We start from the raw sequence: 17,597 nt of genomic DNA on the forward strand, positions 1-17,597 counted from the left end.
CAAATTTCTAAAATGACATATAAACTTTAAATTTTTGTTGTTGTAGTTGTTTACTTTTTTTCTGTTTTTCCAAGAAATATAAATTACTTGTGGATTATATATTTCTTGCGGGTAATATAAAAATTATTCATAAATCAATTCAGGTCTGGAGCCTTAATTGGCAATTAAATATTTGTTCATGGTTGTTTTATTAAAATTTTCTACCATTTCTTGAATCAGTAATTATTCCTTAAAATCATTCATGAGAAGTCAGAACAAGATGGTAAACTGAACACACTCCTCCATGTTCCTACCCACTCAAAGTGAATCTATTAGTTTAGGTGGAGGGGGAGGAAAAATAGTAACAAGTAGACTAGAAATGTTGCAGAATGGATGAAAGCAAGATGGAGCATAGATAAGGTATGTGGAGCCAACTGTCTGTCCAAATAATGTCGGAGAAAACCATTACAGAGATGAGAGTGGTCTCATGTGATTACAATGCCACAGTCAAGGGGTGGGTTCCAAACACAGAGGGGCCATTCTTCAGGGTGATGCAACCCTTTCCCCTACCCTCTCACCCACAGTGTGCCCTCGTGTGGCCCGGAAGTGGAAAAACCCTCAGACATTCTGGTCCTCACGGGCCAAGCTGGCCAGAGCTCCAATCCCTTATCACAGTGACCAAACTACATAGAGAAAAAGAGGCATGAAAACAAGGACTCTTACAAGACTTGCCAAATGTTAGGCTGAACAAGTGAAATAGCCATTTTTATGGGTTACAAAACAGTTAGACATCAGTAACGGCATTGAGTTCCACCTAATTTGAACCAACGGGAAAGGTCAATACTTAATTGGATTAAAAGAAGAAACACCTGGAGATAAAATAGCTAACAGAGGAAACAACAACAGCAAAAACACTTTCAATAAGTAAAATTAATATCAGAGAGGATCAAGAGGTTATTACACTCCTAGAAAAGAGGTAGGCATCCACCTTATGACTGAAATTTCTACACAGTAAATCTCTTTCCCATTAAAGGAATTGATGAACATGAAGAAATAATTTACCTCTCTCCCATTTTAAAATCCATCAATTAAAATAAAAGGAAAAGAGAGGAAATCTCATTTAACTAGAACAGAGCTGGGGAGTCAAGCTTAATTCTGCTTCTATGCCTTCTGGAAAATTGGCATAATCCTGATGATTTTTACAAATATTCTCAAGTCTGGTGAGATAAAACAGAGAGACCATCTTTGTTTTTTATTCTTCTGACCGATGAGAGGTAGAAATTGCTTCTGGGGAGTGGTGAAATGTGTGAAAGGAGTTAGTTATTAGGTGGCCCCACATACTGGCCGAATAAAAACATGGGTTATAGAAAATGTTTTCAAAGACAAACAGGAAATAGAAAATCTGAAAGAGTTACAGGAAAAGTACATTTGTGTTGACTTCTAGGAAGGCAATTTGCCACCCTCTATAGAAATAGAAATGATAAATCCCTCCAGAAATTTATGCTAAAGAAATACTTGCACTTGTATTCAAAGATGTTTATGCAGAGATGCTCAATTTCCTTGTTGTTTGTAACAGCAAAATTGATGACATCCTAAATATCCATCAATAGAGGGGTGATTGAATAAATTAAAAGGCAACCTTCCTGGGAAACACTCTGAGGGTGTAAAATTGGGTGAGTTAGATCCATATGTCATTAACTGAGTTTTTCATCAACACATTTGTTTAAGTGAAAAAGCAAGTTCCAGAGGAGTACAGACAGAATAACCTCAGATGTAGATTTTTCCCATCTGACATGGAAAACATGTAAATGCTTCAGTGGGGAAAAAGAATGAACACCCAACCCTTGACAGTGGTGTGTTTGCTTGTTTGTTTTTTTGTTTGTTTTGAGACAGAGTTTAGCTCTTGTTGTCCAGGCTGGAGTGCAATGGCACAATCTCAGCTCACTGCAACCTCCGCCTCCCGGGTTCAGTCTTTAAGAAGGAGAGTAAGAGGGAAAGAATGTGGAAAAAAAGGCATTCTTGTTTTGCTATACTTAATTGTTTTCTTTCCATAATAACAATGTTTTATTAGCATAATTACTTAATAAACATTAAAAAAAGCTAAAATTATTATATTTACCAAATAGTGTATGCACCCCATTCTAATTTTTAAAAATATTGTATCTATTTATGTCATTATTTTAATTCTCATTTAGTAACTTGCTTTCAGCTTTATTATTAAGCTTGCCAGAGTTATACATATTTATTTATTTTGTTCACAAAAGCAACTGAGAACTATATCTATCATTTCCTATTTTCCAATTCATTGATTTTTTTTTTTGCTTGTAACTTTGTTATTTTCTTTCTTCTTTTCTTAGATGCATCTTGTGCTGTTTTAGAATTTTGAGCAAGAACAAAGATCATATTTTATTTATTTTTCTTTTTTCTTTTTTGGTGATGGAAGTGTTTAGGATTTTAAGTTTTTTTCTGAATGGAACATTGTCCACATCCCAAAGGTTTTCTATGTGCTGTTTGTATCTAACTGACACTAACAGATGACTTGTCTTTTGCCAGGCACAGTGCAATAAAACTTATATATAACATCCCATTTAATCATCATAACAATTCTAAGAAGTGGGAACTCTCTTGTCCCATTTTACATGTGAGGGAAGTGAAGCATGTCTTTGGGTAGCCAACACACCGCCATTCTTAGTCCGTGTGTTTTGGGAAACGTGGATCCTGCCTGACCAGAAGGGTGAGTGGACACATGAGGCAGGGCTAACTCTTTCTTGGCCACAGTGATAGGATCAGGATGAGGCAAGTTGCCCAAATTCAGTCCATTGGAGTCTTCCCTAAAACTTCTGCTGGAACTCTCCAAACAAAAAGAAAGAAAAATACTCTTTTTCATGGACTCTCTAGCTATAAAACAAAATGAAAACAGATAACTCTTTCCTCATTTTGGATAAGGTTAGCCTAAGATTGAAGACAATACAAGGATACCATTGGTGATTTATGGAGAAAATGAGACATATTCCTAATAATATCATCTGAGCACTTACAGCAAAATGTGCCTGAAGCCAGAATCAGCCCTTGAATTTTCTGGTGATAGAAGTCAATAAATTCTCTCTTTTTTGTTTGTTTAGGCTAGTTGAGATGATTTTCTATCACTTAGAATCAAAACAGTCCTTGCAGACAGAGTTAAATCCTCTCGATCCCATAATTATTTTTTGAATCCAAAATATGACCGCAAGTAATCTAATACCAGAGCCCATGCTCATAAGCATGAAACTCTGTTGTCTTTATTTACTCATTTTGTTTATTTTTCCGTTTATGTATGTGTTCACTCATTCATTTATTCATTAAACACATACGAAATTAGATAAATATGGGCTTGATCATTTACTTCTTTTAAAACAGGGGAAGCAGTATAGAGATCTTTCTAGTTGTTATGGTTAAATATTGAGGGATTTTGAATAAGAGTAATATATTACAATTTACTTATTGAAAAGATTACTGTAGCAATGCATATGGAAGGAACTTTATAGGAACAAGAGAAGGAGCAAGAATATCAGTGTAGAGACTTGTTTTCTGGGAGAGAAACTAGAGTGTTATTGATGAAGACACTGATAAGAGAGGATATTTGAAATATATTTTGGAGGGAGAGCAAATGAATCTGCTGATGGATGCAATGTGGTGTATAAGAAAAAAGGGAAAAATCAAAGATGGCTTCTAGGTCTTTGGCCTGAGCAACTCAGAGAATGATTATGCCATTTAAGTAAATATTTAGAGAAACAGAGATAGTGCAAAATGGCTACTGAATGGTTCCGGGTAGAATGGTTCAGAAGCAAAAATCAAATATAGAGATTTGGTCATACTAAGTTTGAGGTGCTTGTTAGATATCTAGGCGGAGATGTCAAATAAATATAAATCTGAAGATCAGAATATAAACTCAGATTAGAGATGTAAATGTGGGATCCACCAACTTACTAATTGCATTTATTTATTTTTATTTATTTTGAGATGGAGTCTCCCTCTGTCGCCCAGGCTAGAGTGCAATGGTGTGATCTCAGTTCACTGCAACCTCTGCCTCCCAGGTTCAAGTGATTTACCTGCCTTGGCCTTTCGAAGAGCTGGGACTACGGGCATGTGCCACCACGCTCAGCTAATTTTGGTATTCTTAGCTGAGATGGGGTTTCACTATGTTGGCCAGGCTGATCTCAAACTCCTGACCTCAAGTGATCCTCCCACCCTGGCTTCCCAAAGTGCTAGGATTACAGGTGTGAGCCACCACACCTGGCCCTGATTGCATTTAACACCATGGAAATAAATTTAATTTTGTCCTGAGAAGAGAGCATAAAACAGTATAAGTAGAAAAGTGAAGAAGACCAAGGTCTGAGACCTGGAATATTCCCACATAAAATTAGGAAAAGAAAGAAGAGTATCTTAGTCTATTCATGCTGCTATAAGAAAATACTCAAGACTGACTATTTTATGATGGAGAGAACTTTATTTTCTCACAGTTCTGGAGGCTGGAAAGTCCAAGAACAAGGCGCTGCAGAGTCTGGTCTGTTTCCAAGACAGCAGCTTAAATGCTGCAGCCTCCAGAGGGGAGGAGCACTGTGTCCTTACATGGCAAAAAGTGAGAGAAGCAAAAGCAAAGGCCACTTTCTGTGTGGAGGAATTTTTTTTTTTTTTGACGGAGTCTTGCTCTGTTGCCAGGCTGGAGTGCAGCAGCAAGATCTCGGCTCACTGCAACCTCCTCTCACTGCAACTTCTGCCTCCCAGGTTCAAGTGATTCCCCTGCCTCAGCCTCGTGAGTAGCTGGGAATACAGGCACGTGCCACCATATCCAGCTAATTTTTTGTATTTTAGTAGAGACGGGGCTTCACCATATTGGCCAGGATGGTTTCAATCGAGAAGCCTCTTTTATAAGGGCCTTAATCCCATTTACAAGGCAGGCACCCTCATGACCTAACCACCTCTTAAAGGCCTCACCTTTTAACACTATCACATTGGCAATACCTGAATTTTAGAGGGGACGCACTCAAACCATATTATGAAGCCAGAAAAGAAACACAAGAAGAAGCAGTCCGTGGGGTTAGAGGAAAATAAGTCTAGCATAATGAGGTGGAGGAAAAACTAGTTTCAAGAAAGATCAGCTGTGTCTACTGGGTCCAGTGGTGTTATTAACCAAGTAGAATTAGACATAAGAAATAGAGTTTAGCAAGATGTAATTTATTCCTTAGCTTGGCAATAATGGTTTCATTAAATTATTATAGTGAGATCTAGAGAGGGCTTCATCTTTTTCAGATGGAAAAGGAACACGTGTAGCATGTGTGTTTCTTGATGGCAATGCTCCAATTGAGAGGAAGAGCATTCTAGGTAAGCTAGAGAAAAGTTTGGCAAACAAGGGAGGGCAGAGAAATAGGCTGGAAACTGGAAGGGAAGGTTGAGGAGATTTTTTGAAAGATGAGATCTGTTGTATGTTGTATGTTATATGTTATATTTCATGTTGACAAGAATGACTCAGTCCATAAGGGAAGGACACAATTACAGGAACTAAGGCCTTGGTGTTTCACAGTGGGCAAACCTACCCCAAAGTCCAAGGAAGCTGATAGCCTTAAAAAAAGAGGCTGACAAATCCAGCTTCTTAGAAAGAAACAGTTCATAGGGACTTACACACAGAAGCCAAGTCTGTGTCCCAGGTAATGTCAAGGCAAAATGGTGGATCCTGGTGCCATTACTCCCCAGAGCCAGGGCTTATATACCACTGGAAAAGGGTAATTCAGAAGGGATATGTAGGACAACTGAAGTATGACAATATCAGTGTTGTTTGATCTAAGGGCAGGATTTACAGTAAGGAGGCATTCTTATATAAGGAGGAATAGATAAACTGGAAACCTTAGAGATCTTCCAGGAACAGGGGTTCATCAGAAGTCAACATGGTGATTAGCATCCAAGATAAAGCTGATTCAGTTTTCATACTGGGGTAGGTGAGAAGTAAAAAGATCTCATACCCAAGAAGAGAAAATGGCCCGGGGCACAGGTAGATTAAGGCAAAGTATATGGGTACAGGTACAGGTGAATCTGACATTTGGTGGTAGAGGAAGATGAGGCATGGAATTCTCTTACGTAACTTTCATTTTAACCATTCCATCACCTTCTATTGTTCATGCTAACTTACTCAGGAAATCCTATTTCAGTATTTATTTTATCTCACCAAGACCTCGAATGCGCTTTTCTCATACTGGTGTTTCACTGTTCATTTCTGTTTTTTCAAGGCAGGCTTATAGGGTTGCTGCTGGAGGAGGCTTGAGGTAGGGACAGAAGGTGTGTTCTTGAGGTAGGGACAGAAGACGTGAAATTAAGGGGGAAAGTGAATTTTCTGGGAACTTCAGAAAAGACAGCCCACCTGGCATTTGTGCTCACAAACTTTTTAATACAACTCATCAGCCCAGTTTCATTTGCATTTTCTTGAGCTGTGTTCAGATGCCTGAGTGTAGGTTGAAATAGATCAAGATTTGGGACCAACCAAGGTGTAATTTTTTAAACAAATAACTATGAAGTAAAAGAAGAAAGGGAATTTAAGGAGGAAACATGGGAGAGATGGAAGAGATTGTAAGAAAAACTGTGGAATCTGAGCTGATTGGGAGAAAGGAAAAGACACCAGAGGCCAGGCGCTGTGGCTCACGCCTGTAATCCCAGCACTTTGGGAGGCTGAGGAGGGTGGATTTGGATCACCTGAAGCCAGGAGTTTGAGACCAGCCTGGCCAACATGGTGAAATCCCATCTTTACTAAAAATACAAAAATTAGCCTGGCGTGGTGGCAGGCGCCTATAATCCCAGCTACTTGGGAGGCTGAAACAGGAGAATCGCTTGAACCTGGGAGGCAGGGGTTGCGGTGAGCCGAGATTGTGCCACTGCACTCCAGCCTGGGCAACAAAGAGCGCAGCTCCATCTCAAAAAAACAAACAAAACAAACCAAAAAAAAAAAACAAGGAAATATCAAACAGTGGAAACAGAAGAATCAACATACACATGTGAGGAATGAATAAAAATAGGATGCAATGATTTGAGGGCTTTTGGAGATAGTACAGTTATGGGTAATGATGACAAGGCAGTAATGTTGGAATTTTTTTGACTTTAACTTATGGTAAAAAATCTTTTTTCTTTTCTTTTCTTTTCTTTTTTTTTTTTTGAGATGGAGTCTTGCTCTGTCACCCAGGCTGGAGTGCAGTGGCTCCATCTCGGCTCACTGCAAGCTCCACCTCCCCAGTTCAAGCAATTCTCCTGCCTCAGCCTCCTGAGTAGCTGGGATTACAGGCGTGTACCAACACGCCTGGCTAATTTTTGTATTTTTAGTAGAGATGGGTTTTCACCATGTTGGTCAGGCTGGTCTCGAACTCCTGACCTCAAATGATCCACCTGCCTCGGCCTCCCAAAGTGCTGGGATTACAGGCGTGAGCCACCGCGCCCGGCAACCTACAGTAAAAAATCTTACATGCAATTCAATATACATACACATGCTTACATCCCTACGTGTATAATTAAGTTTCACAAAACACTACTGATCATTACCACTGAGACACACTAAGATAATGCCAGAAATACTCTGGTATTTCCCATCTATTCTATTTCATTAAAAATTGCAGGTTGCAACCTACTATATTTTAGACGTATTGTTGGGTTATGGCTTGCAGTTTGTAAAGTGCTGGTCTTAGGTATGACTATAGCAGTAGGTAGCAGAAATGGAGTGAGGGAAAGAGTTGGTGGAAATAAGGAGGTCAAACAACAGGAGCACCAGGATTGGGGTGAGTCATTTATGTGGATGTTGAAGTCACCACAACTGATGGTGAGTCATTATATTTTTTCTACATAGACTGTAGCCATTATCCACATGTAACTATTTAAATTGAAATGTTTAAAAGTTGTATTGAGGTGTAACTGATATACAATGAACCATACATGTTAAAGCTGTACAAGCAATAGCTTTTGACATATATAAGTATACACAGTTTATGCATCCATATTCACAATCAAGATACTCAACATATCATTAGCCCCTTTCTACACCTACCTGCTCCATCATCAACCTACTTCCCAGAAAATCTGATCTGTTTTCTGTCTCTATACATTACTTTGCATTATCTAGAATTTTATATGAAAAGAATAATACATTATGTGATCTCTACAGTCTGACTTTTTCAGCATAATTAGCTTGAGATTCATCTATGTTGTTGTGAGCATCGATTACTTTCTTTTTATTGCTGAGTTGTAGACTATTTTAGGATATTCCACAGTTTATTCATTCACCTGCTCTGAACATTTGGGTTGTTCCCAGTTTGGGGCAAATATGTTGCTGTAAGCATTGCTGTATAAGACTTTGTGGGGACATACGCTTTCATGTCTCTTGGTAAATACCTAGCAGTAATTGCTGGATCATGGTTTCTTTTTAACTCATATATTTTCTATTTCAGACAGAGACCGACATGCTATGGCCTCCGAAGAAAAATTGATACACAAATAAACTGGTCTTTTGCCTAGACTGTGTAAACCAGCATTGGAATCTGTGTAATTGCATCTCTGCCTGTTTGCATACATAAATGAACATTTAATCTCCCACTTTCCAATATCATAGTTAAACATTTGCCTGAGATCTGTAATTTAAATCCGTACAATTCCAACTCCAATATCTTTCTAGGAATTCTATTAAGAGAGGCTAATTGCCTTTAATGAGGGGATATACTACTTTTCTTTATGTATGTTTGTAATTGACACTTGAATGCTTTATTTTTTAACATGACAAAGATATTAACTCAGTAATTTACATATACTGGGCTGAGTTTAATTCAAATAAGGACACTGATTTGAGAAGATAGTAAAGTAATTCAAGTTATTGGTGAATGATTAGCAAATATACATTTTAATTACATCCATGCAGAGGAGAAGACAATATAGAAGTGGTTCCCAAATATCAGTTTGCCTTAGAGTCACATAGAATACAGATTTCTGGCTCCCACTCAGAGTTTCTAGCTCAGTAAGTCTAAGGTGAGGCAGAAAATATGCATTCCTAGCAAGTTTAAGCTAGGGTTGCTGGATCACAGCTTGTGAACCCCTGTAGTGTGATTACACCTGTGGGCTCACCTGTGTTCAAATCGCCACACAATTATCTAGCACCTGTGACACCTTGGGCATATTACTCTAAGCCTCGTCATCTCTAAAATGGACATGATGTTAATAATGCCATAGAAGAGGCCAGGCGCGGTGGCTCACGCCTGTAATCCCAGCACTTTGGGAGGCTGAGGCGGGTGGATCACAAGGTCAAGAGATCGAGACCATCCTGGCCAACATGGTGGAACCCCGTCTCTACTAAAAATACAAAAATTAGCTGGGCATGGTGGAGTGCACCTGTATTCCCAGCTACTCAGGAAGCTGAGGCAGGAGAATCACTTGAATCCAGGACGCAGAGGTTGCAGTGAGCTGAGATCATGCCACTGCATTCCACCCTGGTGACAGAGTGAGACTCTGTCTCAAAAAAAAAAAAAAAAAAAAAAAATATATATATATATATATATATATATATATATATACACACACACACATATATCATAGAAGATTTTGTGGCAGGGTAAGATAATTTACATAACACACTTTAAGCAGAATCTGTTAGCTGATACTTTAATTATAAACTTAAAATATATGGTAACATAAATCACCGAATTTAATGTGATATTATAAAAACCTAGAGCATGATATAACAAACAAGAGACAAAAAGACCAAACTGTCAATGAACAGTTTTATTTTGTTTTGTTTCTCAGGAAACAAATTCGAAATTGGAATCTCTTCCATTTCTTTCCCATCTTCACTTTCTCCTTCCAATAGCCCTTGTTGCCTCCTGGCAGGTGTAATGAGGTCAGGAGAGGTCAGAAGATTTTTAGGAAGCCTTTCAATTAAATTTCTTGGCACCTGTGATGATTGGGCCAATAATCTCTTGAAAACAATGGTAGCTTTTTCTATTTGATCCAAAATCTACCTGTCACCATAATTAACTCCACTGGCACAAATCCCTGTCTCATCAATCCAGTCATTAAATGCAGCTAGTTCTTACTCAAGTGCAGATGTATAGAAAGGTCAAGACCTATTAATATTAATAAGACCCATACGGCATAATATATGAATTATGAATTATTAAACTAAGGGCAAAAAAGGCTTGTAAACATTTTGCTAGAGTGTAATATACTCAGGACAAGAATCCTAGTGGAGGCCGGGCCCCATGGCTCGTGTTTGTAATCCCAGCACTTTGGGAGACTGAGGCGGGCGGATCACTTGAGGTCAGGAGTTTGAGGTCAGCCTGGCCAACATGGTGAAACCCTGTCTCTACTTAAAAAAAAACAAAATACAAAAATTACATGCATGGTGGCAGGCGCATGTAATCCCACCTACTTGGGAGGCTGAGGCAGGAGAATCACTTGAACCCTGTAGGTGGAGGTTGCAGTGAGCCAAGACCACACTACTACACTTCAGCTTGGGCAACAGAGTGAGACTCCATCTCAAAAAAAAAAAAAAACAACACCTAGTAGAATACTAAAAACAATTAAAACATATATGAAAAGCTTGAAAAGACTTATTTACTCTCAGGTATCCAAATCAATAATAATAATAGTAATAATAACAATTTATTTTGTTCATTTATCCAACATTTATTATGTGACTTATATGTGCAGCATACTAAGGATAGAGTTAAGAACAAGAAGGGCCTGGGTGCAGTGGCTCACGCCTGTAATCCCAGCACTTTGGGAGGCCAAGGCAGGTGGATCACCAGGTCAGGAGTTTGAGACCATCCTGGCCAATATGGTGAAACCCCGTCTCTAATAAAAAAATATAAAAATTAGCCGGGCGTGGTGGCACTCGGCTGTAGTCCCAGCTACTTGGGAGGTTGAGGCAGAAGAATTGCTTGAACCCAGGAGGCGGAGGTTGCAGTGAGCCAAGATCATGCCACTGCACTCCAGCCTGGGCAACAGAGAGCGACTCCGTCTCAAAAAAAAAAAAAAAAAGAACAATAGGGATAATTCTCGCTGTCACCAAAAAGGTGGCCTGAAGAAATATATAAAACAAAAGCAAATACATTTAAGTTTGGATATTGAATGATGACTCCTATGATGAAAGTAAATGGACTTGTAGGGCAAACACACCCCATAGCAATAACTTAGGCATACCCTTAGATTCACCCTGTATGGCACAGGCATCTGAATGTGTGTTCCGTGCTTGGGAAACTGGGCATGGCCAATCGGGAGATCCATTCCTTGTCTATGAGGAACATCCGAGCACCCATGGGCCATACAGGGGATTGAGCTCCTGAGTTTTGGGTTAAATGAAACTTACCAGGAGGAGGTAATTAAGGGGAGGGTATTAGGTGAAAATGTCATATAAACTGCATGCTCTTTGCAGGGGGTTGCAGTGTTGCTGCCTAGCTCGCCACCACTAGACTGTAGGTAAGGCAGGTATCTTGTTCAACTCATCGCCACTGGATTCTGTACCCTGTATGTAAACCCCTGATAATACCCCAAGTATAAGTTCATGTCCTTTGTAGGGACATGGATGAAGCTAGAAACCATTATTCTGAGCAAACTATTGCAAGGACAGAAAAGCAAACACCTCATGTTCTCACTCATAGGTAGGAATTGAACAATGAGAACACTTGGACACAGGAAGGGGAACATCACACACCTGGGCCTGTTGTGGGGTGGGGGGATGGGGGAGGGATAGCATTAGGAGATATACCTAATGTAAATGATGAGTTAGCGGGTGCAGCACACCAACATGGCACATGTATACATAGGTAACAAAGTTGCACATTGTGCACATGTACCCTAGAACTTAAAGTATAATAATAATAAAATAATAATAGTACCCCACGTCTCATTTGCTGGCTCTGGGTTTCTTCTTTGGCCTCTTGAAACTGATGCCTCTCCTATTAGGGTTAGTAGGAATTCAGCACACCCCACATAATATGCAGGGATAGAGGGAAAGAAGTGATATAAAATCTATTGCCGGGGAAAGCCAGCTTCTTTATTGAGCATTTATTACGTTACACATTCAGCTAGTCACACTACACATAATATTTCTAACATTTTTTTCTACCACAACCTCTCCAAGCATTATTCCCAATTTGCCGGAGATAAAACTGAAGGTTAGATATTTAAATTAACTTTTTCAAAGTCACCCACCTAGAAAAGGGTAGTGCTGAATCTCTATCTAAGATTAAATAACTGGAAAGACCAAGTGTCTCTGATTCCTGCTTTGTGTGGCTACTCATTAGTATTCACTATCAGACATTCATTTTAACCCACACTACTACCACTTAATGTCATAGGTATTAGCTGTGTGCTGGATGCTTTCTCTGTATCAAGTCTGAACCTTACTGCTCCACTCTATGATCTTAGAACTGCTGGACCAGGTTCAGAACTCTCAAACCCATGTCTGCACTCTTTCCACTCCACTGTGCTTGCAGTTGTTCAAAGGCCGAAGGCGTGCCCCAAAACATTTTTAAGCAAATGTCCTTTATCAATTTGGTTACTACACATGACTTCACAGCCAGCATTTGCCACCAGCCCACAGCTTCTATTGCATAACTAACCTTGCCAGGTGTCCCATCAGAATGCTTGGATCAAGTAGCAATTTTAAATGAAGTGCAATATCATTACTCATACAGCTGCTGAAATTTAACTCTTTAAATTTACTTCACCAAACTGACATAATGAGGATCACAGACAGAAGGAAATCAGTATAAATGATATCTTCATGTACATTTGAATCATGGTTGAGTCATAATCTAATATTGAATCACTTAGGGTAGAACTCTTAATTCAGTGAAGTTATCAATTAAAAAAATCCTTGCAACTTTTACACAGATGAAATTCTGATCACATGCCATTGGAGAAACAAACTTGGATATATCAGATTTAATCTAACATAAATAAAAGAGAACCCAACATTTATATAGTGCGATTTTAGTTTCTTTTCACATATCAACTTTTTTGATCTTCATTAACAACCTTACAACGTGATAATCAGTCTCATTTTAAGGTGAAAGACTGGCTGGGCGCGGTGGCTCACGCCTATAATCCCAACACTTTGGGAGGTCGAGGTGGGCGGATCACAAGGTCAAGAGATGGAGACCATCCTGGCCAAAATGGTGAAACCCCGTCTCTACTAAAAATACAAAAATTAACTGGGTGTAGTGGCATGAGTCTGTAGTCTCAGTTACTTGAGAGGCTGAGGCAGGAGAATCACTTGAACCTGGGAGGCGGAGGTTGCAGTGAGTGGAGATTGCACCACTGCACTCCAGCCTGGCGACAGAGTGAGACTCCATCAAAAAAAAAAAAAAAAAAATGAGGGACTAAGGCACAAGGAGATTAAGTGATGTGGTGGGTGGTCAGGATTTGAACCCTGAATATCCCTAAGAACTACAAAATTCTATATCACTTTGTACAAGCCTGCAATGTGGAAGTAAGCATTAATGTTAGAATAGTTCAGCTTGGTTAGCTTTTTACTCTATCTTCCTTTTTCTTCTCTTTCCTGACATTCACTTTAGACTACCTTGTTTGTGTCACTCTTCAAACAAGGAAGGGAAAAAATAAGAAGTAATTATAATATTGCTAAACTGAAAAAGCTATTTAAATAGCCTCTGAAATTTAGACATCTTTCTGTCCTTTGCAATGACATTTTCTATATTTATTTGAAGGGAAAAATATATTTCTAAATCAATACACTGGACCCATTAAAAAAAAAAGAGTAGGAGCAAATTCTTATGGTGAGGAAAATATGAAGAGGAAGTTATATTCAGGAAGCCTATCAAAGCTATGAAGTTCTAAAATATTAGTTAAGAGAGAAAGAGTGAGAGGAAAAAGTACTGATGTGTCTATATGTACAATTTTTTGAAACAGGACTTTTTTTTTGTTTTTGTTGTTGTTATTGTTTTTGCTTTTTTTGAGACAAAGTCTCATTCTGTCACCAGGCTGGAGTGCAGTGGCAGGATCTCCGCTCACTGCAACCTCCACCTCCTGGGTTCAAGTGATTCTCCTGCCTCAGCCTCCCGAACGAGTAGCTGAGACCACAGGCGCCTGCCACCACACCTTTTTGTATTTTTAGTAGAGACGGGGTTTCACCATGTTGGCCAGGATGGTCTTGATCTCTTGAACTCGTGATCCTCCCGCCTTGGCCTCCCAAAGTGAGCCACCGTGCCCGGCATGAAATAGGACTTTAAAAAAGCATTTTTGAAATGTTGAAAACTCAGAAAGCAATAAAATATAGTCTTTTTAAAGTAAAATGATTTGCACATAACTGGGGTTCAGACAGGGCAAATGATGAAAATAGCTGATGAGACTAGTCTACCTAGAGAAAGGCAGAGATGGTCACCTGGTATCCTCAAACAACCTAGATGTTTTTACTTAACCTGGTTGTAACCACAGACTTGCTAGACTTGCCTACATTTGGTTGAATCAACACAATTCCTGCCCAAAAGTATAATTTTTTTTTTTTTTTTGAGACAGAGTCTTGCTCTGTCACCCAGGCTGGAGTGCAGTGGCGCAATCTCGGCTCACTGCAACCTCCGCCTCCCGGGCTCATGCCATCCTCCTGCCTCAGCCTCCCGAGTAGCTGGGACTACAGGCACCTGCCACCACGCCCAGCTAATTTTTTGCATTTTTAGTAGAGACGGGGCTTCACCGTGTTAGCCAGGACGGTCTCAATCTCCTGGCCTCGTGATCTGCCCGCCTCAGCCTTCCAAAGTCCTGGGATTACAGGCATGAGCCCCCGCGCCCAGCCCGAAGTATAATGTTTAAAGGGAGTTAAGGAGTTACGTAAAGGATGATATTGGTAGTTAGATTGTCCACACGCTTCTCAAGGTGAAGAATAAAAATGAAGGACTCCCAGGCTGTTTGTAATTTTGCAATGATGTGGTAAGAAATGAGTACTATCCATGAATGCTATTTTTACATATCCAAAGTTTCAATAACCAGATGCTTTTTCCATGCCAATTTAATATTCTGGATAATAACTAGATTCTCCACTGATGTAATAATAAGAGCTATATCTGTTAAGTATTTCTCAGGGAGTATGTCAAACATCTTAGGCATTTAATCTTGCAATATTTCCTGTGACCTAAGTGTTATTATCTCCTTTAAGTAGATAAGAAAGCTAAGTTTAAATTTGTTTTGTTTGCCTTGTTTCTCTTTATGTTAGAGAATCTTTTTATAGTCTCCATATTTATTGATTATGAGGATGATGTGTCAGAGACTGCAATCACGCATATAGGTAAAGTTCAAAGGAATTCAAGAAGAACTTACTCAATCCACTAGAAATCAAATATAATTCCTAGATAGAAGTCTCATCATGCATGCATGAGTAAAAGGAAATATATGTTTAAGGACACTATAAACAGAGAAAAATAAAATTTTCCAAATGACATTTTATGGTATATTTCTCTGGTATATTTTAGAGTACATTCGCTTGGCTCTCAATAAAATAAAATAACATATTGGCTCACTGAAACAAGAGATAAGAATGAGATGAGGCAGGGTGCAGTGGCTCACGCCTCTAATCCCAGCACTTTGTGGGGCTGAGGCGGGCAGATCACCTGAGGTCTGGATTTCGAGACCAGCCTGACCAACATGGAGAAAATCCTTCTCTACTAAAAACACAAAATTAGCCAGGCCTGGTGGCTGAAGCCTGTAATTCCGGCTACTCGGGAGGCTGAGACAGGAGAATTGCTTAAACCTGGGAGGCAGAGGTTGTGGTGAGCTGAGACTATGCCATTGCACTCCAGCCTGGGCAACAAGAGTGAAACTTCATCTCAAAAAAAAAAAAAAAGAATGAGATGACTAGATAAACTGAGATTAAAAGGGAGACTCTGTAGGACAAAACAGAAATAAATAAGAAGCTTGATAATATTAATATACTAAAAAGGTGATAAAAACAAAAGAAGTGAAAACAGAAGCAGTGAAAACAAAATTTATCCTCAAGAAGATAGAATTCGAAAATGGAGAGTAAATTGGAGAAGTTATCCCAGGATGGCAGAAAAAAGAAAGATAATTAAAAACATGAGAAAGATGATAGAAGTGGAGAACAAAGAACAAAGATTGAATATGTAAATCTTTAGTGTTATTGAGGGGTTCTCCAGAACAAATGCAACCAAAACAAGAATTTAAAACATGGGAGAGGCTGGGCGTGGTGGCTCACGCTTGTAATCTTGGCACTTTAATATACCAACGCGGGCAGATCATGAGGTCAAGAGATTGAGACCATCGTGGCCAACATGGTGAAACCCGTCTCTACTAAAAATACAAAAATATTTGGGCATGGTGGCATGTGTCTGTAGTCCCAGCTACTCGGGAGGCTGAGGCAGGAGAATCACTTGAACCCAGGAGGAAGAAGTTGCAGTGAGCTGAGATTGCGCCACTGCACTCCAGACTGGGCGACAGAGCGAGACTCCATCTCAAAACACACACACACACACACACACACACACACACACACACACACACACGAGAACTTTCTTGAGCAGAACAAAGCAAAACAAAGCAAATCCTCAGATAAAAAGGAGTTAAAAAAAATAACAAAAAGAGAGTACTTGAAAAAATCAGGTAGAAAGGAAAGGCTATCTAAAGATGATGAAAAATCAACTAGCCTCAGAGCTTCCTACAACTTTAAATGCTCTTAAGACAATGGAGCAATGTGTGTAAAGTTTTCAAGGAAAACTATTTTAAGTAAAGTATTATATACCTATTAAAGGTCTTTTCCTCACAGAAAAGTAATATAATGATTATACGTACATATATATGTATGTATATATTCAGATATCCAGAAAGTATTATATATTCATATTGTCAGCCTTAAATAATTAGATTCAGAAAATATGACTAATATATCGAGTTTATTCAAGTGGAAAGCTTGAGAATAAGCGCTTGGGAAATACAGACTCCAAAACAATGGGTCAGCATTCCAAAGTGGGGAAGTTACAGTTTCACTTATATAGGCAGTTAACAGGGGTTGCAACGTTTTCCAAACAAAGTCAGTACCTACGCTGTAGCAATTTGATTACAGCTTGCTACATTTCAAGAATGATTGCTTTAACATTCTGTGAGGAGGAGTGACGATCTGAGGAGGTCTTATCTCTTATGCTACAAAGCCTTTCCTAATGATTTTCAGGAAAAAGCAGGAGTTACAGCTGCATGTTAGGTGGCTCAGGCCAAATAGCCTCATTCATCTCAAGGCTCGAAAAATAATTTAAACTTCCAACAGTTTTAAGTTTGAATTATTTAGTTTCATAATATTTATTGAAAAAAATGTATTTGAAGTAGAAGTGGAAAAGAAACAGAAATGGTTTTTAAATGGCTGATACGGAATATTGAATTTTTTTAAATATTAAAATTTTTATATATAGTTAGAGGGTTAAATTTACATGAGGAGATCAGATATGACAATATAATAAGTTGAAAATAGAAAATAAAATATGAAATATAATGTCAATAAATTCTGTAAGTAACCTTGATAACAGGTATTGAGAAGCTTCATATATGTTTAATTTAAAATTTTAAGAAATTGAGGAAAGGTGGAACTTCCATATATAGCACCATCT

General features: G+C 38.8%; 1 long non-coding RNA gene across 1 annotated transcript, besides 2 other annotated features; it reads left to right on the forward strand.

Moving 5' to 3' along the window:
- The first annotated feature begins 599 nt into the window (after positions 1-599).
- LOC105371544 (uncharacterized) lies at positions 600-8,518 on the forward strand. Its single transcript, XR_934239.3, has 3 exons — positions 600-955; positions 2,533-2,713; positions 8,436-8,518. It is a non-coding gene; the product is annotated as an uncharacterized LOC105371544 (long non-coding RNA).
- Positions 14,105-14,605: an enhancer, noted in NCBI's record as "H3K4me1 hESC enhancer chr17:13536554-13537054 (GRCh37/hg19 assembly coordinates)". NCBI's record gives its function as "activates a minimal SCP1, AML or CMV promoter by ChIP-STARR-seq in naive H9 embryonic stem cells {active_cell/tissue: H9 hESC(naive)}" and the evidence as "EXISTENCE:reporter gene assay evidence [ECO:0000049][PMID:30033119]".
- Positions 14,606-15,106: an enhancer, noted in NCBI's record as "H3K4me1 hESC enhancer chr17:13537055-13537555 (GRCh37/hg19 assembly coordinates)". NCBI's record gives its function as "activates a minimal SCP1, AML or CMV promoter by ChIP-STARR-seq in naive H9 embryonic stem cells {active_cell/tissue: H9 hESC(naive)}" and the evidence as "EXISTENCE:reporter gene assay evidence [ECO:0000049][PMID:30033119]".

This window comes from Homo sapiens, chromosome 17, assembly GCF_000001405.40.
Source record: "Homo sapiens chromosome 17, GRCh38.p14 Primary Assembly".
In the NCBI taxonomy this organism is placed as follows: Eukaryota; Metazoa; Chordata; class Mammalia; order Primates; family Hominidae; genus Homo; species Homo sapiens.